This window comes from Homo sapiens, chromosome 14 (assembly GCF_000001405.40).
Source record: "Homo sapiens chromosome 14, GRCh38.p14 Primary Assembly".
NCBI classification, from domain to species: domain Eukaryota; kingdom Metazoa; phylum Chordata; class Mammalia; order Primates; family Hominidae; genus Homo; species Homo sapiens.
This window is the reverse complement of record NC_000014.9, coordinates 90,601,110-90,628,284: the sequence shown is the minus strand read 5'-3', so window position 1 is coordinate 90,628,284 and position 27,175 is coordinate 90,601,110. Positions and strand designations below refer to the sequence as shown.

The window sequence follows — 27,175 nt, the reverse complement described above, 5'->3', positions numbered from 1 at the left end:
CTTCACAGTTCAGAGAGAACAGTGTATTTATTTTAGGAGCCAGAGTAGTCTGACAGGAAGACTTGCTTTCAAACATGTCCTGTTCACGTATGTACTTAGCAGATGGCTATTTGACACTTCCTGTTCCAGAGGCACTTGTTCAATTCATTTTCCAAATCTGGGGGCGGGTTTTGGGCCCCTCACTTGCTTTGCAGGCCCCCAGCCCTAACACCATGCGCTCAGGTAGCCTTCGGGAATAGCCCTGGCTGTGTAGACTCTCTGGCTTCACGGATGGCATTATATGAAATGGCTCCCTTCATTATAATGTCACTCACAGGAACTGGAGAGGTCTTTGGAACACGGGCAGTAAGGTTCAAGAGGTGTTTTCAGTTGCACCTGACCAGGTCATCTCCAGCTTAGGTGCCGGCTCCTGGATGCCAATCTGAGTGGAGATTAATAGCTGACGTGGGAGCAAAAAATGAGCCAAACTGGGGTTTCTTGAGGTGATTTATTCCAGCTAACTATGTCAGTTGTTTGTTCGTGCTAAAAATACCGCTAGAAGGATGGGGGAGTATTCCAGATTGTTGACACTTTGACTGAAATGAGAAGCAAAATGTAACTGATATGAGCTCTAACAGGAGCTCCTGCCTGTCATAAAGAAGAGGGAGGATTAGGACACCAAGAGGCGCAGCCAAACCACCCGGGACGGCCACGGCCCAGGCCCTAGCGCTGCCACTCACCACAGCCTCCCAGCTAAGATAAGGGCTGCTAAGTTCTGAAGAACGAGGTATCTCCTCATCATACTTTGGCCCTGAGAAACTTCATTTTGCTAAATAGATGTGGCCTGGATTTTTCCAGGACAGTGGATCTGGGAGTCTAGGTTAGGATGATGCAGCCTTGCGCTCACACTGATGGGTGAGACTGGAGTGGCAGGAACGCCCTGTGAGTGTCCCGGATGTGCCAGCCTTGTGTGCTGCGACCCCTTCTCCAGCAGCTGGAGACATTAAATGTGTTCACATGGGCCAGGTGCAGTGGCTCACACCTGTAATCCCAGCAATTTGGGAGGCCGAGGTAGGAGGATCTCTTGAGCCCGGGAGTTCAAGAACAGGCTGGGCAACATAATGAGACCCCCATATCTACTAAAAAATTTTTTTTAATTAGCCAGTCATGGTGACGCATGCCTGCAGTCCCTGCCACTCAGGAGGCTGAGACGGGAGGATCTCTTAAGCCCTGGAAGGTCGAGGGTCTTGACCCTCGAGCCACTGCACTTTAGCCTGGGCAACAGAGCAAAACCCTGTCTCAAGCAAAACAAAACAAGATAAATAAAAGTGGTTAAGTTTCTAGAACTTCCTTGGTGGTTAAATAACTCCCAGACAGAAGTTTGCCAAAAAGCTCCCCAGGCCAGTGATTTGCCAGGGCTTCATTCCTAGAGAAGACGCGCTTAGGAGAGGAGTCATCCATGCTCTTTAAACCCCCCGTCACTGGTTCTGTTGGCAGACTGGACTGACCGGGGCTGGCATGTGGTTGGGGTTTTGTAACAGAAACCAGGTACTCAGGTTTGATGGATGAAAAGCATATAGACACGGTTTCCAGCTGGCAGCCCATAAGCTGGCATCTGCTAGCAGGGTTGTGTCAGGCCAGTGCACGTTTCAAAAAAGTTTGAATTTGCTGAACTTCTGGTCATCGCACTTGCCTGTTTTGGAAGACATTTGAGTTCTCAGCCCCTGGGGAACCCACAATGGGAGAGGGATGGTTACTCAGTGCTCTGCAGACTCAAGCAGGTGCCCTTTATGGGGGTGACAGTATGAATGGTACCCCCTCAGTGGGTACATTGTGGACTCCCCAGCTCCTTCACTGGAGATGTGTGGAGGACCCGGGCAGGGCTAGAGCACCTTCAGAATGTGATCCAGGGGATCCCTTCAGAAGGAAGGAAGCATTCTGTTCAAGACACGGGCAGGGGTGGCCTTCCTTTGGGGGCTTAATGTAAATGGTTGTTCAGAATTCTCACTGAATTTAAGAACAAAATACATCCTGAAAAATGTCTTCCAAGACATGCTCCCCCAGTTCTTATTGGAATGAAATGAGCACAGAATTTCCTAAGTGCAGGGACTGTGAGAACTCTTCCCTGGGAAGTCTTTTTTCTTTTTAAAATCAGACCATGGCAGGTTAGGATGGAGAGTTATGAATGAGAGCGGTGCTTCTTGACGTTAAATTTGCGCATGAATCCCCTTGTGATCTGGTTACATGCAGATTCTGACTCAGTAAGTCTAAGGTGAGTGGAGAACCTGGAGATTCTTCTATTTCTTGCAAGCTCCCAGGGGATTCTGAGGCTGCCTGCCCTGGACACACTCTGAGTAGCAAAGTATTATTTGACCTCAAGGCCTTTTCCAGCTTTGGGTTAATTGGAAACATCTATATGTTTTCTAATGAACCCCAATGAATAGCACATCAATGCAGCAATTGGGTAAGCCAGATGATCTAAGAATTGTTTATTTCCTGTGTAACCGTTGAGGAATTCGATTATTCACGTGACATTATTGAGGATGTGCATTTTGGGAGGCCCCATGCAGTATTTGGTATCTAGTGGGAATGGTCACATGACCTGTTCCATCCTTTCTCATCCCTTCCAGCTGTTGCCAGAGGGGCCTCGGGGTGATTTGAGGCCTCCCAGCTCCAGGACGTGCACAGCTGTCATCCCAGCATCATAGGCTCACCTGGCGGAGGTCGGGCCAGTGACGGTATTGATTTTCAGTGACAGTGACTCAGCCTGGGACCAGAGGCTGCTGTTTGCAGAGATATAACACCTTCTGAGATTGGGGTGCTTTGGAAACCCAGCCAGGAGAGCAGTGGCTCCAAGAGCAGCATACGGTGGGCCCTCAGAAATGGTGGTGAAAATGAATTGCGATCAGTTTCCTTCCAGCCACATGGGAACCTGAAAGGAATCCCTCCTCCCTGCTGAGGGCCTGGGTCGATGGATTCGATGACATCCCTCTCCTTGGGCAGCACTGGGCTGATCTCAGACTCTCTGTTCCCAGCCGAGTTCTCTGGTTTCACATTCCCATCTGCCTTCTCCCGGTCACGACATGCTACTGGCACATCTCTTTTGACTTCTCTTACCATTCTGATTGGCCAGTTGCCAAACAGCCTTCTCAAGTTAAAATTTCAACATACTTGCCCCCTGCCCCCTTCAGCCTGATCCATTATTTCTCTTACCTGGTGACAGATGCTCACTTTCCTTCGGATATTTGACAGCCAGCCTCACTCCAGCTCCCCCGATCTGGACAGGAGGCAGCAAGAGATGGGGAAGGTATCCAGGGCCCCCTCAGCCGCTGCCCCGCTTGGGCAGATCCCGCATGCTTTTCTGCACAGCCATTTTGCATTCCTGCCTGCATTCAGTAGATAAACAAAGAAAGAGCAGGTCCCTGGCATGCAGAGCCCAGGAGCTCGCAAACACAGATCAGCACAAGATACGAAATGTTCAAGGTTCCCGTGATGTTACCTCTAAAGCAGTTACTAAGACTGCAGCATTCACGGATCACCTAATTAGTGAAGGTTTTGTGTATTAATATGTGTGTTTCTTCCTTGATATAATCAGCACATTTTTTATACTGACACAGAAGATGGGAGGGAATTATTACTTTAGTATTTCTCTGAACTTCTCTAACTTATTTTCATCGAGAGTTCTTCGGACGGCTCAGAATTCAGAAATATCTGCCCTTTTCACTCTATCTTTGGCCCCTGCCCAAGTCTGGGACTCACTGGGGTGGGGCCAAGGCTAAAACTAAACTAGGGTGTGAGGTACTAGAGGTGCATGTCCAGTGGTTGGGAGCAGTTTCCAGCGAGTCAGCGAAGTCTTCCTGGGGAATGGCATGAGACACCGAGCATGGCCCTGACAAGTGCCGCTCTGACTCATTTCCTGAGGTGAACACTGGACAGTCACAATGCCGCGTGCCCCAGAGCTTCCCCAGGGGCAGTTGTGTCTTCTTTCTAAGCCCTGCCCTATCCAAACATAGTTGTTATTTCAAGAGTTATCTTGAGATTCTTAAAATATTCCAGAAGTACAGTAAAATAGTATTTCTATTTGTTTTAATGAAAAGTAAAACTTTGATTAACGAGGTCCTTCAAAAAACCAGATTTTATGTGCACCAGACTTTTAGATGAAAGACAAGTCACAAAACACACACACGCGCACGCGCACACACACATGCACACATATACACGCACACGCATATGCATACAGGCACACTCATGGGTTTTGTTTTGTTTTGTTTTTGTTTTGTTGTTTGAGACAGAGTCTGTCTCTGTCGCTCAGGCTGGAGTGCAGTGGCGCCATCTTGGTTCACTGCAACCTCCGCCTCCTGGGTCCAAACAATTCTTCTGCCTCAGCCTCCTGAGTAGCTGGTACTACAGATGTGTGCCACTACGTCTGGCTAATTTTTGTATTCTTAGTAGAGACGGGGTTTCACCATGTTGGTCAGGATGGTCTCAAACACCTGACCTCAAGTGATCTGCCTGCCTTGGCCTCCCAAGGTGCTGGGACAACAGGCGTGAGCCACAGCGCCCAGCCAAATGTGATTGTTCTTTAAAGAACTGTATATGAAAGATCCCAGGAGCAACACCCTGGTAGCCCAAACGCCTGCTCACCTGCAGCCCTACTCAAGTTTCAGGGCCATCATCTGGCCCAAAACTAGAAATCCTGCCCAATAGTAGTGGTCAAGTCTTTTTCTCCAATTGGATTGTAAATTTTTTGTAAGCAAGGGACTGTATTTTATACCACTTTGTATTAAACATAGCCAGCACAGAGCTTTGCACATTTTGGAGTTTTAAATATTTGGCAATGGATCTTCTTTAGTGCCGCTATCTTCATTAGTGCCAGTAGTATGGTGGGATTTTCAATCATCCTTCTCTGTTTCTTATTCACATGGATTTGGGTTTACATTTCCATTCTACCAATAACTAGTGGTGTTAATTTGGGCAAATTACTTAACTCAGCCTCATTTGCAGGGTTGTCGTTAAGAATCTGGAATTAAATATTTAAAGTGTCTGGCAGCTGCTGTTATTATTGTTATTATTTTGCTTGTCTTCAAAGCAGAAGTTTCCTGGCTTGTAGCTTATGATTTCACAGTTGTGAGCTCTCGTGTTTTTTATAATTATGTTTCCATTTGGAAGGTTTAACTCCTATTACTTAAGGCTGGCTTCAGTGAGGAGTTGCTATTTGACCTGAATCTTGAAGGATGAGTAGGTGCTTAAAAGGCAGAAATGGATGGAAAGAATATTCCAAACAGAGGGAACAGCATGTGCAAACACCCAGGGTCATGGAGGAGAGTGACACATGGGGGAAGCTGACCACGGCTCGAGTGGGGGCGTAGGTGATGGGCAATGGACAAATCCTTTGGTAGCTAAGCATGTGGGTGGACAGGAGCCAGACCGCAAAGGCATTGTATGAAATGCTAGATTTGGGTCATCAGTAATGGAGTTAGATTGGTATTTTAGCAAGGTTCTTCTTTTCTTCATTAATTTTCTGTAAGTTTTTAATGAGTCTGTGAACAAAATAATTCTTTTGGGGGGAAGTGGGGGCAGGGTCTCACTCTTTCACCCAGGCTAGAGTGGTGTAGTGGCATGATCTCAGCTCACTGCAGCCTTGACCTCTAGGACTCAAGCAATCCTTCCACCTCAGCCTCCCGAGTAGCTGGGATTACAGGTGCACGCTACCACAACTGGTTAATTTTTATATTTTTTTGTAGAGACAGGGTTTCACCATGTTGCCCAGGCTGGTCTTGAACTTGTGAGCTCAAGCGATCTACCCACCTCAGCTCCCAAAGTGCTGGGATTACAGGCTTAAGCCACCATGCCTGGCTAATATATAAATTTTTTAAATTAGATTCATGGCTGGGCACGGTGGCTCATGCCTGTAATCCCAGCACTTCAGGAGGCCGAGGCAGGTAGATCACTTGAGGTCAGGAGTTCAAGGCCAGCCTGCCCAACATGGTGAAACCCTGTCTTTACTAAAAATACAAAAATTGGCCAAGTGTGGTGGCATGCACCTGTGGTCCCAGCTATTTGGGAGGCTGAGGCAGGAGAATTGCTTGAACCTGGGAGGCGGAGGTTGACAGTGAGCCAAGATCACACCACCGCACTCCAGCCTGGGCAACAGAGTGGGACTCTGTCTCAAAAAAAAAAAAAAAAAAATTAGAATCATGAACTTTGTGTGGCTAGCTTACAGTCTCACCTGCATCTCCTCTGCCCTCTTCATCGTGTTGACAGTTAGACATATTGAAATGTATTAAATGTTAACTTTTCCCAAGTTTTTCCATAATTTTCTTTTTGCCTCAGGGTTTCCTCAGCACATCGAATCTATATCTTTTTGGTATCAGCTGTAGCAAATGAATGCTGATCATTGTTTGTGTACTCTTCGTTTCTGTGCTAATGTAACATACACCCAGCCAGATGTTTTTGAACAGTCTTGAAGTGTGTAAGCAGGTTCAGCAAATAGGATGACGAGCATCACTGCTTGTTTTCAGTATTGTTTTGTATCTTGTAAACAAGCTGAGGTTTGAGGAAATGATGGAAAGGCAGCACGCTCTGTTCCTGCTTTCCCTTGGGCATCCCAAGGAGTGTTGGCGACGGGCAGGGCAGGTGTTTCTGCCCATTGTACTGCCTACAATTGTGTGGCTTCTGCCCATTGTCCCAGCTGAACCTGTGTGGCTTCTGCCTATCATTCCGGCCATACTCGCATGGCTTCTGCCACTTGTCCCAGCCGTACCCACGTGGCTTCTGCCCATCATCCCAGCCGTACCCACGTGGCTTCTGCCTATAATTCCAGCCATACCCGCATGGCTTCTGCCACTTGTCCCGGCCGTACCCACGTGGCTTCTGCCCATCATCCCGGCTGTACCCACGTGGCCTCTGCCCATCGTCCCGGCCGTACCCGCGTGGCCTCTGCCCATCGTCCCGGCCGTACCCGCGTGGCCTCTGCCCATCGTCCCGGCTGTACCCGCGTGGCCTCTGCCTATCGTCCCGGCTGTACCCCGTGGCCTCTGCTCAACATTCTGGCTATACCCACGTGGCCTACCTGCGTGGCTTCTGCCCATCGTCCCAGCCATACCCACGTGGCCTCTGCCTATCGTCCCAGCCGAACCCATGTGGCTTCTGCCTATCGTCCCAGCCGAACCCGTGTGGCCTCTGCCCATCATCCCAGCCAAACCCATGTGGCCTCTGCCCCATCATCCCAGCCGTACCTAGGCAGCAGCTGTCAGGCTTTCCTCTTTGTCCCTGCTGTGTCCCTGGCTCCTTTTCTCTGCCAGCCTCTCTCATGCTGTTCCTCTTGAGAGGTCTTCCAAGTGCTTTTTTCCATCGTTTGTGCTCAGCCACTCTACCATTGTTCTTCCTGTCTGGTTCTCTGAAATGCAAGCCCACACCTTTTCAATTCCATATCCTGAGTCAAGTGTTTGAAAGCTGTTATTTTATGTTAATTAGAAGTTCTTTTTCCAGCCAAGAAGGCTTGCTCAAAACTGTTCCCCCAAGCTGAGGCTTAGAGACGCACTCTGGCATTCTGTCCTTTGGGTACAGTTAAAGGAACCACAGTTCATTGCTATTAGAGGCACCCCACTGCCCGCTGTGGGGCAGGCACCTCCTCTGGGGGCAGGCGCCATTGGAGGGGAGTTCTTGGCATGGCCCCCAGAGAGCTCCAGCCTGTGCAGCACGTGCACGGCTTCCTGGACCCCCCACAGTCCTCCATGGGGCCTCCCCTTGCCGCAATTGCTTGGCACTCATGCCTTACCACCCTCTCTACCCAATGGTGACCTGTTTGGCAGCTTCTCCTTCCTTTGTCAACTCTCCCAGTTGACCCCTGTTTGGTGAGAGATTCTGGTGGAAAAGTACTCCCATCTTGTTCTGGACTCGGGCAGGCTTCAGCAGGAGCCAGCTTCTGGTGTCTTTAATCCCCACAGAGGCACCCTGAGCGGCTGCCATCCCATTTAGGCAGTCTTGGTAAGGCTTCCAAAGCATTTCCGCTTCTTGGGATGTTTTTGAGCAGAAGCTGAGCCCTATTCTCACATCTAGCCTCGCTCTTTATGCTCATCTGCTTGTAGATCAGAGACTACATTCCTCCCTTTACCTGGCCCTCGTCCCATCATTCCAGGCTTCTGCAAGCCCAGGCATGGGGAGGCTGCAGCCGTGGCCCCACTGGGAGCACCGCACCGCCCTGGACTTCCTATGTTCCATTTGGAGGGGTCGCTGGGGGCGCTTGGTGTGAACCCATCCTGAGCTTGGGCAGTGATGGGTTAGGACCACTTTCATTCCACCTCTCACACATGAAAAAGAGACTTTCCTCCTCTAAGGTACCTTTGAATGAGGACATCACATCATGCAGGGTGAAGGAATTCTCCTGGATGTCCAGCTGAAATCTCTAAAATGCCTTGCTTTATAGAAAAAGTAGTCAGTGAGTAAATGCTGATTTAAGGCCCATCAAACTCAGAGCACAATTCTTGGAACTGGAGGTGAGGCTACAGAGAGGCAGAGAGAGATGTCAGGGCTCTTGTCCTCAGGAAGAAAATCACATCCAGAAAACAACCAAAGGGCACCAGAGCTTCAGTTTCCATATCTGTTGAAGAGTGTTAGACACCACCTGCCTTGACAGCTTCTTCCAAGGACATTGACAGCGTGTGAAGTGCCAAACACAAGGCCTGGCACGTGGGATGCCTTCGGTCAGCAGGAGCTCCTCCCTCTCTTTTTCTTCTTTTTATTATTAACAACAAATGCCAGCTAATATGGCACATACTGAGTAGAGAAGATAAGGGGTTAAAACTTGAAGACTTACTTATTTAAGTGGGGTTTTGGCTGGGTTTGGGAAGAATTAAAGAAAGATGTGCATGAGTAGAAGTTGAAGTTGGGGACGTGGCATGTGTAGCCATAGAGTTGTGCCAGAAAAGTAGCATTTGGCCTATGAATTACATTGGCAGAAGTAAAGGGTCCAATCGGATGAGACAGTGAAAGAAGAGTGGCTAGTTGGTGGAGTGCCTTAAACGATGAGATACAGAATTTTGACTTATTATTACAGACAGTATAAGTAAGGGATCATTGTAGTTTCTCGAGGTGAGAACAAAAATGATTTTTGGGGGCTGGGAGCGGTGGCTCATGCCTATAATCCCAGCACTTTGGGAGGATCACGAGGTCAGGAGCTCAAGACCAGTCTAGCCAACATGGTGAAACCCCACCTCTACTAAAAATACAAAAATTAGCCGGACGTGGTGGCGGATGCCTGTAATCCCAGCTACTCAGGAGGCTGAGGCAGGAGAATCACTTGAACCTAGGAGGTAGAGGTTGCAGTGAGCCAAGACCGTGCCACTGCACTCTAGCCTGGGTGACAGAGCAAGACTCCGTCTTGGGGAAAAGAATGATTTTTGGAGATCTTTATAATAAGATGTGTGAGAGCGGGTAAGTCAGGGGACAGGAAGAACACCAGGAAGGAAGCTGGGCTCATACTGGGACTTTTACTAGGATAGTGGTGACAAGTCCAGGGGCCAGGAGAGCTGATGTCTACAGGTACCTAGGCTGATGTCGGCAGAGAAACATAAGTAGAATCTGGAAATGGCATTACCCTGTGGGGCCACGAAAGAGAGAACATTCTGAGCTTAGTGCCCAGAAGGTCTGGATGGAGGGTGGAGTAGTTGATGGTAACAAAAATACAGAAGAGAGACCTAGGTGATTGCGGAACGAGCCCTAGGCCCTCAGTAGCAGGAATGGGAAGACACAGGAGCTGAGGGCCTATGCCGGAGGCTGCCCTTCTTCATGGGACTTCCGTTCAGGCTTTCGAAGCTCACACGACGGTGAGCATCATTGTGGAGGGTTATCTGTAGATATTTATATCAACTGAGTCAAATCTCCTGTGTAATTCTGTAAATAAACCAAGGTTCGCTTTTAATGAGTTTTTGAGGTTTCACAAATAAATTGGTTTGGTTCTAAAAAGCATGCTTTTAATAAATTCCCTGTGTTCTGAATAAAATTGGCCACTCTAATGCTTTCAGCCTGACCACAAATAGTCACATCGTGCTTGCATTTGCGTTAGTGGTGAGACTTGTGCAAAGCAACACCTTGAGCCAGGAGTTCTGGAATCCCGCTTTCCTTGGACCACACATGTGGATGTTCCCTTTCTGAAATGAGTACAGCTGCTTCTGGGTCTAAGCCCACCACTTGTCTTGCTGGGATGGGGACTCTGTGGCTTGAGCCGTGGTGTTTTCTCCCTTTGTCTCCCCACTGCAGACTACTGTTTTCCAAAGTGAAGTTGCAGTCACTCTGCCGAGGCCCGGACGAGGCACTGCTGACTTGTAAGCACATGCTGCAGATATGGAAATCCTGCTACAACCTCACCAACCCCAGGTAAGAGGCCAGCAGGGCCTGCTTTGCGTGGCTTTTGCATGGGTCCCTGCCTATCAGTGCCTTCTCTGATTGGCATTTAGCAGGCATTAACTCTGTCACCCCTGTGCACCTCCAGGCCCCCACAAGTGGCAGATGATAGCAGTGGAGCTTCACACTCCATGTTTAAGGGGCTGTTTTCCCAGTGGCTGATGAAGCCTCCAGATCCTGGGTTTCTTTTGCTTTCACTGCCATAGTGACCCACTGGACTCAGTTCACAATGGATCTCTATCCAGTTTCTCTCTAACACCCGTTTACCTAACTCCTTTGACCAGTCTTATCTTTCTGGTAATTTATGTATAGACCAGTCATTTATGTGGTCCAGATGGGGTTCCTGCAGCAATATTTAAAAGACCTGCACAGACATCAGGCCGCATGCTACTAAGAAGAGAAGTGGCTATTGGCATAAAATATCACTGTGAAAAAGTTAAAATCATGATGCATACGACTATCAAACACATGTCAAAGATTTTATTTACCTTATTAACTAATGCAGGAACCAGGAAAATGTTAAGACCTATTCACAGAAGAGTTTGAAGAACAGATACTCATAGGCAGGAATGCTGAAATGATTTGCAAGTAGATACAAAAACAACATCCTATAAGATGATGAAAGATATCGTTTGGGGTTCTTTACTGCAGGGTGACATCAGTTGTCTCTCCCCCAAACAAAATTCACTTGCTTTATTATCAGTTTTCCGCGGGTTAATTTCTACCCCTACAGAGCTGTAAAGTAGCTCCGTCAATGGGAAGTGAGTCAACGGTGCCTGCCCTTTAGAGTCAGATAACCCGGGGAAGGTCTGCTGGTCAACCCCCAGCATTCCACGGACAGACACCCACCTATTTGCCCATTTCCAAGTCTTGCACAGTTTTCCCTTGCATATGTTTAGATTACTAAGTGAAGGAAGTCATTTAATGAGAAGGGATGTAATGATTCAAGTGAATTCACACAACTGCTCCAATACTCAGAGTATTTTTTACTTTCCTAGTAAGGTGTCTGGTCAGCTGATATCATGCTTTTAAGAGTCAGGGGCCTAAAAATATGTCACCTAAAATATAAATGAGTACGAAGGGTGAGGCGGGCAGTGGGCTGGTGGCCGTGGTCTGCAGAGACCAGCAGGGAGGGAGGGCTACGGAGGCAGCAGAACAGAGATGGGGTTCCCTGTGAGATTGTTTTACAAATGTTTCTGCAGTTAAAAAAAAATGTTCAAAGTCAGGGCCCTGTTAAGGGGATGGACCCCCTGGAAACTGATAGACAGACCCGTGACCCCAGGCCCTGCGGGCAGTGCACCTGGAAGGAAGAGAGCTCTGCCTGGAAAGCCATGAGCTGTCCAGCCCCTGCCCTGCCCACCGCCAGGCAGCCCCAGCCCCCACCTCCCCCCCAGCTGGAAGTCCCCTTCCCAAGCACAGGAACAGCGGCGCGGCGCTGTGCTGCTGGGCGCACCCGCCCTTCGCTTGGTGAAAGGTAATCATGAGACTGGCCTCTTCCCTTTTGTGGATATGTTCTCAAAATAAAGATCATTTTAATTTTTTTAAAATTCTACATTTCTAAGTCTGGAAGCAAAAATAGAAACTGTCCATATTTATCTCCCCTGAAAGCCCCCACTCCTGGCCTATGAAATCTTCAGGATTTGGGGGAGTCTGCCTCCGAACCAGCTAGCAGGAGATGCTGCCCAGGCAGGTTGCCTCGGCGCCGGAGCGCTTTCCTTTGCCTGTACCCCCTTTAGAAATGAAAAAATAAACCCATCAGCTTCGTGTTGCCAATTTCCCCTCAGTTCCCCACACCTCTCCCACCTCCCCACATTCCCTCCCACTTAGCAACCAAGAATATTGAATGTGAGGAGAAAAAAATAGCAGAATTGGAAAGCTTTTTAAAAATACTTAACCAAATGCCTGGGCTGTGTCCATACTTCCTCCATTTCCTGAAGGTTCCTTCAGGGCCAGAGTGGGGAGGACCCTGGCTCCAGGCAGTGTCTGGTGGGGACTGGCGGATGGGGTGGGCGGTAGAGGCCCCAGTGGTCACTCAGAATTCCCCCTCCGGCTCCCCGCAAAGCCTGGAGGGAGGAGTGGTGAATTGAGCAGCCCTTATTAAGGAGCATCCTGTCTGGTTTTTTAACTTGATTTTCTCTGGGATAGAAATAAATGTTTCTCCTGTAGCCCTTATCATTATGTAAATGTAGTCATCCCCGCCAGCCTGCTCGGTAAGAGGTGACCCTGGCAACAGCATAAAGCCTGAAGGAAGGGCTGTGTCTTTCAGGGGACAGCACACCTTGCAACACTCCCGAGTGGGGCCGCAGTGGCTCCAGCAGCCTAGAGGCTGGGATCAGGGCATACAGTGTTTTAGAGGAAGGTGGAACTACATGAACAAGCGCCTAAGAATCATGGCTTCTTTAAAATAAAATGAAAACTGAGCAGAAAGCATTTTGGCAGACAGCATTTGGCTTCTCCCCGGAGCTGGTCTGTGCTGACTTCCCGGCTTCCTTGCTTCTGAGCATGCTGGGTTGTAATGGGCCCCCTGCTCTATCTGCCAGTTTCCCAGTCTTCCCACCCCCTTCCAGATCCACCCCAGGCTCTGCACAGGCCTCCAGGGCAGTAAGATGAGGAAGACGTGGGCAGTAGCAGGGAGTGAGTGGCCAAATTGAGAATAGACCCTAGCTTCATATTCTCAGCAACCCGTTCCCTCTTCTCGATTTTTGCTTAAAGGGGGAAAAAAATTACACTGAGCTAGTCACTAAACTGAGCATTGGAAAACTTGCAAATAGTGTTCCACCTGCAGTTGGAGATGCGTCTCTTGCTGTGAGCAAAATGGTGGGTGGCATTCTCTTACATTTGGCGAGGTGTTTGTCATTTCAGAAGCCTGGATTCTATTTCTCTCGGTCTGCAGTTTTGCTTGCATTTAGGATAGAAATCTGTCTCATGCTTTGTCTTCTGTCACTGGGTGAAGTGTAAGGCTCCCTCAGTCCTTGTGCATATTGACCCAGCCACTCAAGACAGTGTGAATTCTGACCAGAATCTCACCAGAAGGTCCCAGCAGGCTCCCTGAACTGAATCTCACAGCATTTCAGCCAGGGATGGTAATAACCACGTTTATTGAAACTTCTCCATGCCAGCACTGTACTAGGCCACTGATGTGTTATCTTCAATCCCTACATTAGCCTTGCAAGATAGCTACCGTTACTTCCATTTTACAGAAAATAAAATTGAAGCTAAAAGTGGCTAAATAACTTGCCCAAGTTTTTCCAATTGAATATGTAGCAGAACAGTGATTCAGCCCCAGGCCTAACATCAATGCTCTCTCCACACTGGCATGCTGCCTCTCTTGAGCTGACAACCAGTTTCTTTTCATTTTTTATTGTTAACCAATTCTTTCCCCCTCTTGTCACTGCTACTAGACCCATCTCCATCATGTACCCATGAGGTGACATCTCCAGGTGATTCAAAGTCCTGTTTCAGTTACTTGCCAACAAACAGCATTTAAACACACACATACTCACATTCACATTTCTTTGCTCTAACCTCAGTTAGGAGTCAGAGATCCCATTTCATCCTTACAGTCACCAGCATTTGGGTGGAGCTTTTCTTTTTATAAAGCATGTCCTCATTCTATCTTTGAAGCAGCTCCATAAAATGGGCCAAGGTCGTGTGATCTCATACCCATTTTACTGATGAGACAACTGAGGCTCCGGGATATTGGGAGCTTACCTTGACTCTTATCATCCAGGCCTAAGAGACCTGGAGAAAAACAGAAGTTCCTCTCTCATCTGCCCCTGTTCTGGTTTCCTAGCCGAGGCCCTTCTTTTAGGTGCAATATTTACTGTGTGCCAGGCACTATTCCAGGAGCTGGGAAGAGGCTCAGCTGAGACAAGAGCTCCAGGGTTCTGACTCCAAGCCCGCCCCACCACCACCAAGCCTCTCGTGTTTAACCTCTGTGGAAGATAGAGGATTTCCAAGAGAGGCTTCTAATAGCCGGTATAACTTTAACTCTCATGACAATTCAGTGATAATAGGGAATAGAAGTCCCTGCATGTGCGCATCTACGCATGTGGGCATCTCCCGCTTACATACCATGGATCTGGGGTCCTTCCAGTTTCCTTTCGCTCTACTACAACACTCACCAGGAATGGTTTTCTCTCCCTTCCTGCCTCCCTCCTTGGGAAGTGCTCCTGGCAGCCTAAGGGCCCGGCAGAGAAGAGGTGAGGTGACTGGGCTATGAGGAGGAAATGGGTGGTTCACAGAAGTGCCTGAGCAGATGTGTCCCAGAGGGAGAGAGGAAGGTGACTTTCCAGCTTGCCTGAGAGACTGTCCAGAGTGAGCAAGTTAGGGAGACTCAGGGTTGCTCAAGGCCTCTCCTTGCCCCTTGTCCTGTATTCTAGGAGTCAAATGTAAATCTTGATTGGTAAAGACTCTATACCATGTAAATGAAGAACTAAAAATTGCTTCAAGCATCCAGTAAAATTCTCAATCGGTCACAAATACCTAATTATTTTTAATTTTTTTTTTTTGAGACAGTCTTGCTCTGTCGCCCAGGCTGGAGTGCCATGGCATGATCATAGCTCACTACAGTCTGTCTCCCAGGCTCAAGCCATCCTCTTGCCTCAGCCTCTCAGATAGCTGGGGTCACAGGTGCATGCCGCCAAGCCTGGCTAATTTTTTTATTTTAATAAAGATGAAGTCTTGCTATGTTGCCCAGGCTGATCTTGAACTCCTGAGCTCAAGCTATCCTCCTGCCTCAGCCTCCCAAAGTGCTGAGATGACAGGCATGAACCATTGTGCCCAGCCCTAATATTTTTAGAGAGAAAACATTGAATGTGGAAACAAAAGCATCTCTATGTTGAATAGTTGATTGTTGCGTACACACTGTTTTCCAAAGGAAGTAAGGCAGACACACTAAGGATGTAACTGAACGCTGTTTCCCAGCTGGTGGAGGGAACGTGGATCCTGTGCCATTGTCAGGGGGTGAGGTTCAAAATTCAGATGATGGTTTGTTTGGGGTTTCTAACATTTTAACTCAGCTTCCCCATACCTCCTACAATTGCACCAGAAGCCTAGGGATAAGTTGGCTATAGGAATTGGCTGGCCATATTAACCTCAGATGTGTGTTGTAGGTATGTGGTTTTATACACACCTGGCATGTACCTAGAAGTTGTAAGTCTTCAGAGTGCTCCATCTATGTGACCTTATGTCATCCTCACACAGTTCTGTGTAGGACAACAATCCTTATCTTCATCTGATCAGGGAAGTCAGTGAGGCACAGGGAAAGCTGTCTTGCCCAAAGTGACCTCCTCATTAGTGACAGCACCAAAACATGGTGAGATGAGAGGCCTGGAAGATGAGAATGTCTGAAACAAACCTCAGATTTGGACCACCAGAAACCCAGGCAAATCCTTCCTTTGCAATGCCGATACCTCATCGTGTGTCTTGGAATCCCCAAGGTGGTGAATAATATGTCATCGTTTCACTGTATTTTGAGATAAATCTTCTGAAAAACTCCTAAGTGGAGGGGCATTGCAATATTCAGATAATTTGTACTTAGTAGTATTTATGTGAAAAATGCTACCTGGACAGACCTGCGCCAGAAATATTCAGTGTTGTGATGAGTGAAAATTTGCATGTACTTTTATGTTGTCTTCTGTTCACAGACATGTATTGTTTCTCAGTTATGGAAACAATTGAAAGAGCAGTTTCCAAAAAACATGTCTGGGATGATGTAATAAGTATAGGCTGACAAATAGTCTGTCCTGAAGGAAGTTTTCTTCTGCTTCCTGTGGATTTCTCTAATGTAGTTAGAGAAATCGCTGGACGTGGAAATTGCAGCCTGTAAACTGTATTAAGTTTCATGCCAAATCTTGTTTGTACTGCTTTAGCAACAGCTGCATAAAGGAAGGAAATTGTGTCTCCTTATTGTAGAATCTGAACTTCTTCACAACAAAAAATCACTCTTAAAGCCCCCAGATTGGAAAAGAAAATAGATTCAAAGAAAAGCATTGAAGATTCAAACCTCAAGAGACAGACGTGGTTCTTTTTGGAGCTGCTTTGATAGGATATCACGATACAGGAATAAAGCAATAGTGTTTACCTACGAGCCTCCTAGAATTTAAAAAAGAAATCCATGTTAGATGAGATCCCTTAACAGTTTCTCTCCCTGTTAGGCCCGCTGTGGTTTCCGTGTGGCTTTACCGGGTGAACAGTGCCAAGCCTGTTTTATAGGCACAAGCTAGAGAGGGGACTCAGTAGAGATGGGCAGTGCAGGAAGCTGGTAGGAGTGGTGGTATGGAGGCTGCCACCAAAACCCTGCCATGTTCTCTCCCAGTCCCTGTGTGTCCCTATCAGCCAGCTTTCTCCAGCTTGGGAACACTAGACAGGGCTCGTACACCAGCAGGAAAGTTAACCACACGATGTAGCACAAAGGCCTACATTCTGGGGACCCCAGAATGAGTGCATGACTGTGATCACACTCAGAAAAGGGGGTCAGGGGTTCTTGAATCCAGCAGCTGCACCTTAGAACCATCTGAGGAGCTGTGAAAAATGTCGATCAGCCCAGGAGTTTTGATTTGTTCGGTTCACAGTGGGACCTAGGCGTCTGTTGTTTAGAGATGTCCTGGGTGATTTTTCCGTGCAGCCTGGGTTTTAGAAGCGCAGGTGTGGAGCATTGGTTCATGAAGACAACTCTTCATGGATGGCGTGTTCATGGACTCACTTGCTAAGACTTCACTTTCTAAGGTTGCTAATGCCAGTCGGTTTCCCCCTGTAAGGTGGATGGAAAATGAAGCTTCAAGTTTTCATTTTTGTGTCTTCTAATGACATAAAAGAGGCCAAAATTAGCCAGGGTCTGTGGGTGTGGTTTATGCCCTGTTTGTGATAGTGAACACTGAAAGGAATCGCAGCCCAGGCCAAGCCAGGAAGCAGGATGCCTCCTTCATAAGAAAGATGCTGAAGAACGTAAAAAATGCACAGAAAGTATTCATTGGCCTTCAGGAGTCAGTATTGGTTGCCTCTCTTTCCTTCCCTCCTCCCACCTTGCAGGTGACTGACATTTGTAGCTGTGTTTTGCAGTGATTCTGGACGTGGGAGCAGCCTCTTAGATAGAACCATTGCTGACAGACGACAGCTTAATACAATTACTTTGCCAGACTTCAGCGATCCCGAGACAGGTGAGAATAAAAAGCCAGAGGGGACGAAATGGTGTAATGGAGAATGTGGGGGCCTGGGACCAAGTGACATGGGATGAGACTGATCGGGTTGGGGTTGGAAAAATTTCTTGCACAAATAGTTTAAACACTCAACCGAGGTGCATTGCTCCAGTGTCTTTCTCAAGTGTTTCTTCACAGTGGGGACGGTCATATGATTTGCCCAGCCCAGTGCTTTCTTTGAAATCTATTTCCCCCTTTGCTCTTGGAACTTAAAATTTGAAACTAAAATGAGGTGGTTTCTGTCCCCATCAGGTTTCCCCTCTGCTTCCCTGTGTCTCCCTCTCTCTTTGGGTTTCAGACCTTGCTGAAAGCAAGGTTCACTTTCTAATCAGTTGCACATATAAACACACATACACCCAGCACAAGACCCCGTAGGGTGGCAGGTGGGTTCCACTGTCCCCATGTGGAAGCCCGAGGCACTTCCTGCCTATGAGCAAATCTGCACACCTCGTCGTGTGTGTGTTCCACATTTGCCTAAGTACAGGGGAGTGAGTCCACCTAACTACAGGGGAGTAGACCCCACAGTGGTGACACAGGTGAAGTGTCCCTTACCCGAAATGCCCGGGACCAGAAGTGTGTTGGGTTTGGGAATATTTGCATAAACATAATGAGATATCCTGGGATTGGACCCAAGTCTAAACACAAAGTCCATTTCTGTTTCATATACACCTATACACACAGCCTAAATTTAGGCAATTTTATACAATATTTTAAAGAATTTTGTTCATGAGACAAAGTTTTGACTGCATTTTGACTGCAGCCCATCACATGAAATCAGGTGTGGAATTTTCCACTTGTGTTGTATTAACACTCAGAAACATCTCGATTTTAGAGCATTTCAGATTTTGGGTTTTCAGATTAGGGATGCTCAACCCATACCAATGATTCAGTTGTAATCTGGGTGACTCGACAGACTCACAAAACATATAAATTTGCTCTTCTTTGAGCCTCAAAAATCATTCTAGAGCATCATTTGGAACCTGCTCCTGTTCCTTCTCCCCCACCCACAGGGGACCGTGTACAACTGAATTTCTATCTGGGTATGCCTGGTCTTTTATGGGCTGGCTGCATGACAGGGACCACGAGGTTATTTTCTTGTCCTTGTGCCACATCCCAGCTCTGCCAGAACCTTTCCAAAGAAAGCCTGAGAGCAGCTCTGAGTCTTGCACTGCCAGGGCTTGTCCTGGGAAAAACCTATCCAGGTGGGCTAAAAGGGATAGGGCCTTTGGGAGCCAGATGTGATGTTCAAGCCTGGCCCACCCCAACAGCTGCCTTGCAGACTGCATTTCTGCCCTAGGCTCCCTTGTACCAAATTTAAAGTCAGCTTGAGAAATCAGATCCAAAAGTCCTGCAGCTCCTGGGTAAAAAGATTTTTGGGCACTGGAAGCGGCACAAATCGTAAATTGGTGCAGTTTAATCTGGCTTGCAGCTGCTGCTTAAAATGTGGACTGAGCCATGGAGAAACTCACCCCCTGGAGTGGCCTGACCACTCTCCAAACAGTTCAGCAGTCATTGGTGGGCTTAGACTGCACACCAGGCAGAGAGCCTGGCTGGAATAGCACAGCAGAGTTCTGCATCATCCCAGCTCCTGCCGAGGGACCTGTTTAGGCCCCGTCATTGTAGGAAAGAGGTCAGGCTGTCAGGACTAGCCACTGCAAGGTGAGGCTCGGACATGGGGAAGAGAAGGAAGTGAAACTCACTATAGCACCAGCAGCAATTTCAGCTGATTCAAAACAGCTGCTGTGGCTACCCAGCGCCGTCTCCCCACTTTTCTCCCTCCTAAGTATCCTGTGAGAACAGCCACACTAAATTCAGACCCCCTTTCCTTCCAGCTGGCCTGGACCTTAATTTCCCTGGAGGTCCCAAGACTTTAAAGCCACATCACATTGAGAACAGGTAGTGTCAGAAAATAAATGAGGTCCTTGTTATTCATTCTTCCCGTTGCCCATTGGGACATTTTTCCTAGAGTGCTTGAGAGTCTCCCTCTTCAGATTCAGCTTTCTCAGATGCCATGGTGTTTAGGGAAGATGTGCCTGTGTGACACAGTCTGCGGTGTCACTGCCCTGGGTTGGGCCTGGCCCCCGGGTCTTCCTCCTCCCCCTCTGCTTAGTGGTACTGATGCAGCCAGTCTCTCGGGTGGGCCACCATTCACTTCCAGAGAGCCTAGGTGTTTGGAGTCAGGACCGCGGGCTCCTATGCCCTTCCTCAACAACAGGGAAGCCACAGCCTCCCAGGCACTGCCACAGACGGTTTCATTGTTGAGTCATCCACGCGAGTCCTTCTGAGACTCCTGCCACCAGCCCTACACCACCCCCGACCCAACCAGGCAGCTGCAAAATACTGATTTGCACGCCGACAATTTAACCAAGAGACCAGGGAATCAGAAAAATGGAAGGCCATTTTAGGAGGCCTTATCATATTTGTAAACGAGGGTAAAATATTCTGAAATGACAGTGTCAATCAAAGAAACTTACACGTTGGGAAGGCTTGCCTAAAAATGGGGAAAAATGCCTCCATCTTGATTAATAAAGCCCAGTTGCATATGGTTCAGCTCATGGTGCAGTCAAGAAGGGGCAGATGCTGTCATTCACACACCTGTGTGGAGAGCCCGCCTTGCGAACCACCCACAACACAGATTGTTTATTCCCTCACCTTGATTTGATTTGAAGAGGAAATACATTTACATAATTCAAAAGCTAAAAACTAATTCACAAGGTGCTGTAGAGAAGTTTGGCTTCCACCCCTGCCCATCCATCTTATTTGTTCCTAAAAATAACTGTATTTATTAGCTTTTTGTTTACCCTTCCAGTATTTTTTCATGCAAACAAGCATATGTATCTTTCCTCTGCCCCTTTACATAAACAACCACACACTGTGTATGCTTTTGAGCACCTGCCATTTTGCACTTCACAGTGTATCTGAAGATGCCTCCATACCCATCTGTGGAGAATTGCCTTATTCTTGTTTACAGCCATATAGTATTCCATGACACATGGATTTTACATTCTGGATTCTTATCCATCCAGCATGACCGCAGTCATTTTTCCTCCCTTTGCCTTTGAACAGTTTTCAGTTCATGTGCTAAAAGAGCCTGGCTGACTTTGAACATCCGCTGCAACACTGCTCATCCAGAAAAGCGACTGGGCTATAGAGGCAAAGAGAAAAGGAACTTATCCGAGATCAGAATGGTTCCCAGTGAAACAGAAGTGACCCTGAGATCAAATGTGGCCTGGGAGAACCCAGCCCTGGCGGGTGGCAGCTTATCAGCGTCATGCCCGACACTTAACTGCTTTTCTAAGTCCCCTTTAAAGGGCACAGGCGTCCGACACAAGCAGAGCCCTGCAGTGTTAGCATCCGTGAGGGTGCACAGCCACAGCCACAGCCACAGTGAACTTCCACTTTCGAGATCCTGCCAACCCTGGGGCACAGGCCCAGGATCACCCGCTGTGCAGGCAGATTCCTTTGTGAGGCCGCAAGTCCTCTTGGATCTGTTTTGTTTTCCCCCAGAACTAAATTTATTTTTTTTCTGTTTTTTAATTTCTATTATGGAAAAATTTCTAAAATGCCAGAACAGAGATACTAATATTCCCGTTACCCACCAGTGAGTTTTAGCAATCAGCATTCTCATTCGATCTCTCTCTCCTGTCCCACACTTGCTTTTCCTAGAGTATTTTAAGGCCAGTCCCTAATATCCTATTTTGCCTGTTAAAATTTCAGGATATATGTGTAACTGATAAGAGCTTAAAAATATATAACTACAATACTATTATTATATATCCTGGGTCCTTATACAGTGCAGCCTCAGTATTCATGATTTTGGAAGTGGTTGGTTAACTGGAATACGGTTTCCTACCTCTGAAATTGTCCATATGCAGAGCTGTGGAATAACATGAGGAGTCACCCACGTCCATAAGCTTTGAACTGGCCAAGTCCACTGTAGCTAATAGAGTGGAATTTTGTTTCATTAAACAGACATGTCAAACTAAAATAGCCCCCCTTATAGAACATGACTTCCCCTTAGGTATCACCTTGGGCGTCCCTTCCTCCCACCTCTGCCATCTCATAGGTCCCAGCCAGTGAAAGAGGACTCAAATAGAGTGACAGTCTTTACTTTGAAGCTCTGAGTCATTGTCTTTTCTTTGGAATAAGTTGGTAGTTCCTTAAATAGAGAATGAAAAAAATATTTTATTCCTTTGCCTTTAAAACAGGATGTGGGGTAAGGGGATTTATCTTTAATAATTGATAGATATCAACAAATACCTATCCAACGCAAAATAAGTATTTTAACTTGAAAGTTTGATCCACTTTGTTTGGGAAAATTTCTAATTGCAGCGGCGGTGGTCTCCCCGTTGCCATGTGTTTCTCCAGCTGTAAGACATGAAGGCAGCCATACCGGCTTTTTTCCCAAAGTGCCCAACCAGCACACCCCAACCATAGGCCACCCCAGAAAGCTTAGCACCCCCTTGTCATAATGCTGGGACCATGACATAGTGTTGCACCTCAGTACTCTGCACCTTGGAAAACCTTATTTTCAAGTAAACTGTATATAAGTGCTTCTCATAAAAAACAAATCTATGTAAAGTCAAGTCCTAACCCTTTCCAGTTGAAAAGCAAATTGCTTCCTCTAGAATGTTCTGGATATTGTAGGCTAAAGATGTATTATTTTCAGCAGATCACACTGCTGAATCTGTGCCCAGGTAAATCTTGAGTTATTTTTATTCCATGGTGTTGTTGCGGACCAACTAAATAACCAGTGGAAAAACAAATTTGTTTTCTTCGAAAAGCACTTGTATTCTATTGTCAGGTAGAGGAATGATTGTGTATTACATGACCTCATTTTCTTTGCAGCTTATGTGAGTATATTAAAAGCGAGTTTATTTTTTTCTTTGTGTTTCTAAAGTTTTTTTTTTGCCTTCACCCTTTTTTTCTCTTTCACTTTTTTAGTGTCAGATTCCTCCTCCTCCTCCTCTCCTCTTTCAAGAACCGAATCTCCTCTCCACCTGTTTGTGTCTTCTCATCTTCATTCTCCCAAACCCGATACCTTTGTGTGGCCCCCTGCAGCTCATTCATTCAGTGACGCAGGTCCCCGCCGGGAACCCTCTCTCTGTAAACATGGTTTTTCCTTTCTTGTGAGACCTACTTCATTTGCGTGTTTTACCTTCTGATAATCTTCCTAACTGATAAGCTGGAGAGGAAACTTCATCAGACTTGTCAGAGAGAAATCTTGCTCATTTGAAAATCCAAAAGCTGTTTGGGGCAGAAGGAAACCTGAGATTGCAGGCATTGGAGCCCATGCCTCAACTTCCTCTTTGCAAAGTAAAGGAAACCTTCTGGGCAGAACGGATAGAAGTTTTTCTAGAATATTGCCTCTAATCCTTGGGTCCTTCCGTGCTTTCCTGGAGTTGATATAAATGCATAAAAATCCTATTAAAAGGCAAATTACGACATTTTGCGCAAAAACTCCCGTTTTCAATTTAGAAATGAATTCAACCAGCGTATAATCATCAAGGCCGTATTCTACAGATCAGGGCCACAGCCCTTTCAGCATGTGGTTCTCAAACTTTACCATGCGTTAAAACCACACAGAAAACCTTTAAAGCAGCGGATCCCCTGGTCCCCACCCCCAACTTTATATTCATTAGGCCTGAGGTGGGGCCTGGGAATCTGGATTTATAAATTGCTCCCCTATGATTCCAATGCCAGTGGGTTTTAGACCACATTTTGAGAAACAGTGCTGTAAACTGTTTTCCATTTGCAGTGAAGGAAAATGTAGGGTTTGTGTCGTGAAACTATGCAGAGAAATTGAATAGTATTTTAGTCTAATCTTGCTTTTAAATAACACGGAAATTTTGAAAGTCGGCTTTAGGGAGTTCCAGAACCTGTCCATGAACAGCAACAAGAAAGATCCCTGTGTGAAAATGAACACTGGTTGGTAAAACCCTTAAATAGGACCTAAATATGAATCTGACCCGGGGAGCCCATCCTTGTTTTCTTTTGCTCATTTATTTAATGTTCACTGCCAGCACTGCTAGAAAATTTAATCTCTATATCTGTGATTTATAAGGGCTCATCTTTGTTCCAAATGCCCAGTTATGTGCTGAACAAAAGCTCTTAAGGGGAACTGCTGCCAGAAAGAACCACTATCTCTAATGTGCATATCTTTTGATGGCTCACCCGCTTTGTTCAGCTCTCACACACACAAAGCCAGGGCAGAAACTAGATTACCATTCAAAATAAACCATCCACGCCGAGAAACCCGCTGACCGTACTTATCTGCATATTAAGTGTTCTGAATTTTGCTTTAATGGCAATCCCAGTTTTATGAAATGGAAGATGAAGATACTGTTTAAACACCGTGTATGTTGTTTTTCATGCATTTCTTAAAATAGACATTTTCTCTTAATACAATGCCTACTGGCAATTGCCAACTTCGATTTTTCTAGAAAAATTCTTTACATTGACTTTTGATGAGTTTATTGTCTGAAAATGGGATCTTCCCATTCTAGAATAACATGGTATGTTCCCACTTCCCTGTCCACTCTTTTCTGCACAACAGACCCACCTGCCCGTATTTTTCATGTTGCATCTTGTGAGCCCTGTGATCCTGTAAGCCTTTGAAGATTGCAGTCCTGACTCTTCAGGGGAGGCACTTTATGTCTGATTAATCAGTGACTTTCTGGGGTGATGAGCACCCACTGGGCTTTCTGCTGAATGGAGTATGTCCCGGGCAGTGCTCAGTTGTTTATTCTTAATAAGCTGAAGTCATCTTTCCATCCTCAGGGAGTGTCTAGCCAGTAACCAGGTGTTTCAACTAAGACTGAAGCTCTCGAGAATCCACCCCCTCCCACAGAGTCAGCATTTAGTTAGAGGGGGGAAAACATACTGACAAATGCAGAATTTCTTAATTAAAATTGTAATGATTTTAAGTCCCAACTTTTCCGTTAGGATAAGCAGATAGTCAAGATCTGAAGTTGTATGAATTTCTCCCTCCAAACCTTTGACTTCATAGAAGGGAAAATTAGCCCAACCCTACAAACCACTGGAATCATGATTAGGGTTAATGTGTGGAAAGACCCAAAACCCACTTGTTTGATTATTTTTCCCTTCCCTTTGGAATTTCCTGCTCTGGAAACAAAATACATTGCATGAATTGGTCAGCTTTCATGTGCTGGGTGAACATTTCAATGGATAGGGGAATGCCCAGTTGGCCTTTCTTTTGTTTAAAAAAAAAATGTTAGTGGAAAAATGTGTGCCACTCTTGAATGGAAATATGATTCTAGACAGCCAGACTTACAGTTGGAAGGTTATTAGAACTCTGTTCGCTTTTTTAGTCTTAATTTTGATTTTTCAAATGTTTTGTTTCTTGGTTTTAATTTTTGGTTTGATCTGTTGTTCCAAGGCAACTCTCCAGAAGCATACTTTCATGGTTTTCCTTCCCTTTTTTCAGTTAGTAAGTAGTTTACCAATCTATTAATCCTTCCGAGGGCCTCCAGAATCACACTCCCCCCACCACGGAATGTGCATTGTGGTTGTTGAGTGCTGAGAATGCTGAGATGACGTGGACATCCCTCTGCCACCTGCCTGCCCACTCTGCCACCTGGAGCCCATCCCTCCTGAGATCCTAATGCATTCAGCGCAGCTTGGGTTTATATATGAGGAGGCAGTATTGATCTGAGAAGGACTACAAAAGAAGGCATTGCAGGGAAAAAGGCCAACTCTGGGTGTGCAGTGGGTGGTGAGAAGCACTCCTGGCACTGATTGGAAGCATGAGATGCCCCGTCTTCCCAAGGCGGGTGGCCAGTAAATTTTAGGTAGAGGGAACCAGTTGGATCTTGAAATTTTTGTAATTAATCCAACCATTATTGTTGCATAGGAGAGCAATTCTAACTGTTAATTTTTCTAAAAATAAGCAGACATCATAAAACTTAAAAATGTATCTACCAAAATTTAAAGGAATTGCTTAATTCCCTGGATGTAGGATCAGTGCTTTTTTTTTTTTTCTTTTTGAGACAAGGTCTTAGTAGATCAGGCTGGAGTGCAATGACACGATTACAGCTCACTGAAGCCTGGAACCCCAGGGCTCAAGTGAGCCTCCCACCTTGGCCTCTTGAGCAGCTGGGACACCATGCACACGCCATCATACCCAGCTAATTTTTTAATTTTTGGCAGAGAGGAGGCCTCACTGTGTTGCCCAGGCTGGTTTCCAACTCCTGGGCTCAAGCGATCCTCCCACCTCGCCTCCCAAAATGCTGGGATTACAGGCGTGAGCCATCACGCCCAGCCTAACAGTGCTTTTGGCAGTGTTTAAGTCATTAGTGACTTGTCACATCTGCCAAAGGATGTTTCTTAGACCACTGATTCTCTTTGGTCAAATATATTTGGACGACAGTCCATCTCCTGCCTAGTGCTTCATAGTTCACATTAACCACATTAAATGTTCTGAGAAGTCCCGCACTTTGACCCAGTGTTCCCAAACTAATGTAATCGTTTTTTCCACCCTAGGAAATCAGTGTTCATGGATTGCATTTGGGGAAATGCTGGTGGATATGGGGATCCAGTGCATTTGAATGACCTGAGCCTTTAGCTTATGGCAAATACTGCCCCTCACCCTTAAGAGTTGATTCCACCCTCTGAAATCCAGCTCAACCTAGATGTGCCTTTATTTCTGGCCTAAAAGCAGTCCATAATAGAAAAGAGGTATGTGTTGGTGCTGTCATCACACATTAGGTGCTTCATAAAAGAGATTTCCCTGCCAGGTTCCTCTCACCATCAAGGGCCAGCTCTGGAGTCACCCGGCAACTCGCCGCATCGCCCTGGGCCTCATTTCCTCATCTGTAAAAATGTAAATTCCATAGTTATTCTATGTACACCGCCCTTATGATTTGGCAGCCATGGATCCTGGTTTTAAGGGCGAGTCAGGTGCCTTCCCCCTGAGTTACACCCTGGGCAGCTAGGACCAGAAGAGTGGAGGTGGCTGAGCAGGATTGGAGCGAAGCAGCAGGGCTCTCTGCATGCTGCTCATCACTTCTTAGAGGACCCGGGGCGCTCCCCTGCAGGTGCCCTAGCAGTTGTTTTTTTGGAGAAAAATCTGTGCTGATGTTTTATTCCCCTCTCCAAGAACATGCTAAAATCAAGATTACCGACTTGAGTTCTTGGCTCCATTTTTCCTATCACTGATTCTAGTGAAGTTGCTGCTCTCTTTAGCAGTAATTCACCGGGAGAAGAGAGTAAACACGTTAATGAAGAACATACCTCTAAAATAAAATAAGAGTGAGAAAGGAATTCAAGACAGTAGTGATGTTTTTCTCTTTCCATCATGGCAAGCATTTTATTGAGCTGCATTTTCTAACACTCAAGAATGTATATCATGATCAGGAAGTGACTAGTCAATTAGGCGGTTTTAGTCTCTGTTCCTGCTTAATAGAATAAAGTAGCTTTAAAAGAAATCTAGGTATATATGGGAGCATCACTCTGTGATGACTGTACCATTTTTGAGGGGTGGTGATTTTTAAAATTCAGCTCTAATATAGAACCTTTTTTTGCTATTTTAATTAAACTAAATTTAATATAATTCTCCTTAATTAGTTCTGTAG

At 46.4% G+C, this 27,175-nt stretch overlaps 1 protein-coding gene across 3 annotated transcripts in view, besides 3 other annotated features; it reads left to right on the top strand.

Annotated features, from left to right (window-relative positions):
- Positions 1–27,175, top strand: part of TTC7B (tetratricopeptide repeat domain 7B) — a 291,867-nt gene that overhangs the window by 188,146 nt on the left and 76,546 nt on the right. Inside the window, exons 16-19 of one of the 3 annotated variants that reach the window (NM_001401365.1) lie at positions 10,240–10,356; positions 17,446–17,543; positions 22,527–22,688; positions 24,982–25,032. In NM_001401365.1, coding sequence (NP_001388294.1) covers positions 10,240–10,356; positions 17,446–17,543; positions 22,527–22,688; positions 24,982–25,032 — 428 coding nt within the window. The remainder of the gene's footprint in view (positions 1–10,239; positions 10,357–17,445; positions 17,544–22,526; positions 22,689–24,981; positions 25,033–27,175) is intronic. The other 2 variants (NM_001320421.2, NM_001010854.2) reach the window with 2 other exon arrangements.
- Positions 2,234–2,866: an enhancer, noted in NCBI's record as "H3K27ac-H3K4me1 hESC enhancer chr14:91091763-91092395 (GRCh37/hg19 assembly coordinates)". NCBI's record gives its function as "activates a minimal SCP1, AML or CMV promoter by ChIP-STARR-seq in naive H9 embryonic stem cells {active_cell/tissue: H9 hESC(naive)}" and the evidence as "EXISTENCE:reporter gene assay evidence [ECO:0000049][PMID:30033119]".
- Positions 11,086–11,380: a silencer, noted in NCBI's record as "tiled region #13818; K562 Repressive DNase unmatched - State 9:DNaseU". NCBI's record gives its function as "represses a minimal TATA promoter and a strong SV40 promoter by Sharpr-MPRA in K562 cells {active_cell/tissue: K562}" and the evidence as "EXISTENCE:reporter gene assay evidence [ECO:0000049][PMID:27701403]".
- Positions 12,727–13,248: an enhancer, noted in NCBI's record as "H3K27ac-H3K4me1 hESC enhancer chr14:91081381-91081902 (GRCh37/hg19 assembly coordinates)". NCBI's record gives its function as "activates a minimal SCP1, AML or CMV promoter by ChIP-STARR-seq in naive H9 embryonic stem cells {active_cell/tissue: H9 hESC(naive)}" and the evidence as "EXISTENCE:reporter gene assay evidence [ECO:0000049][PMID:30033119]".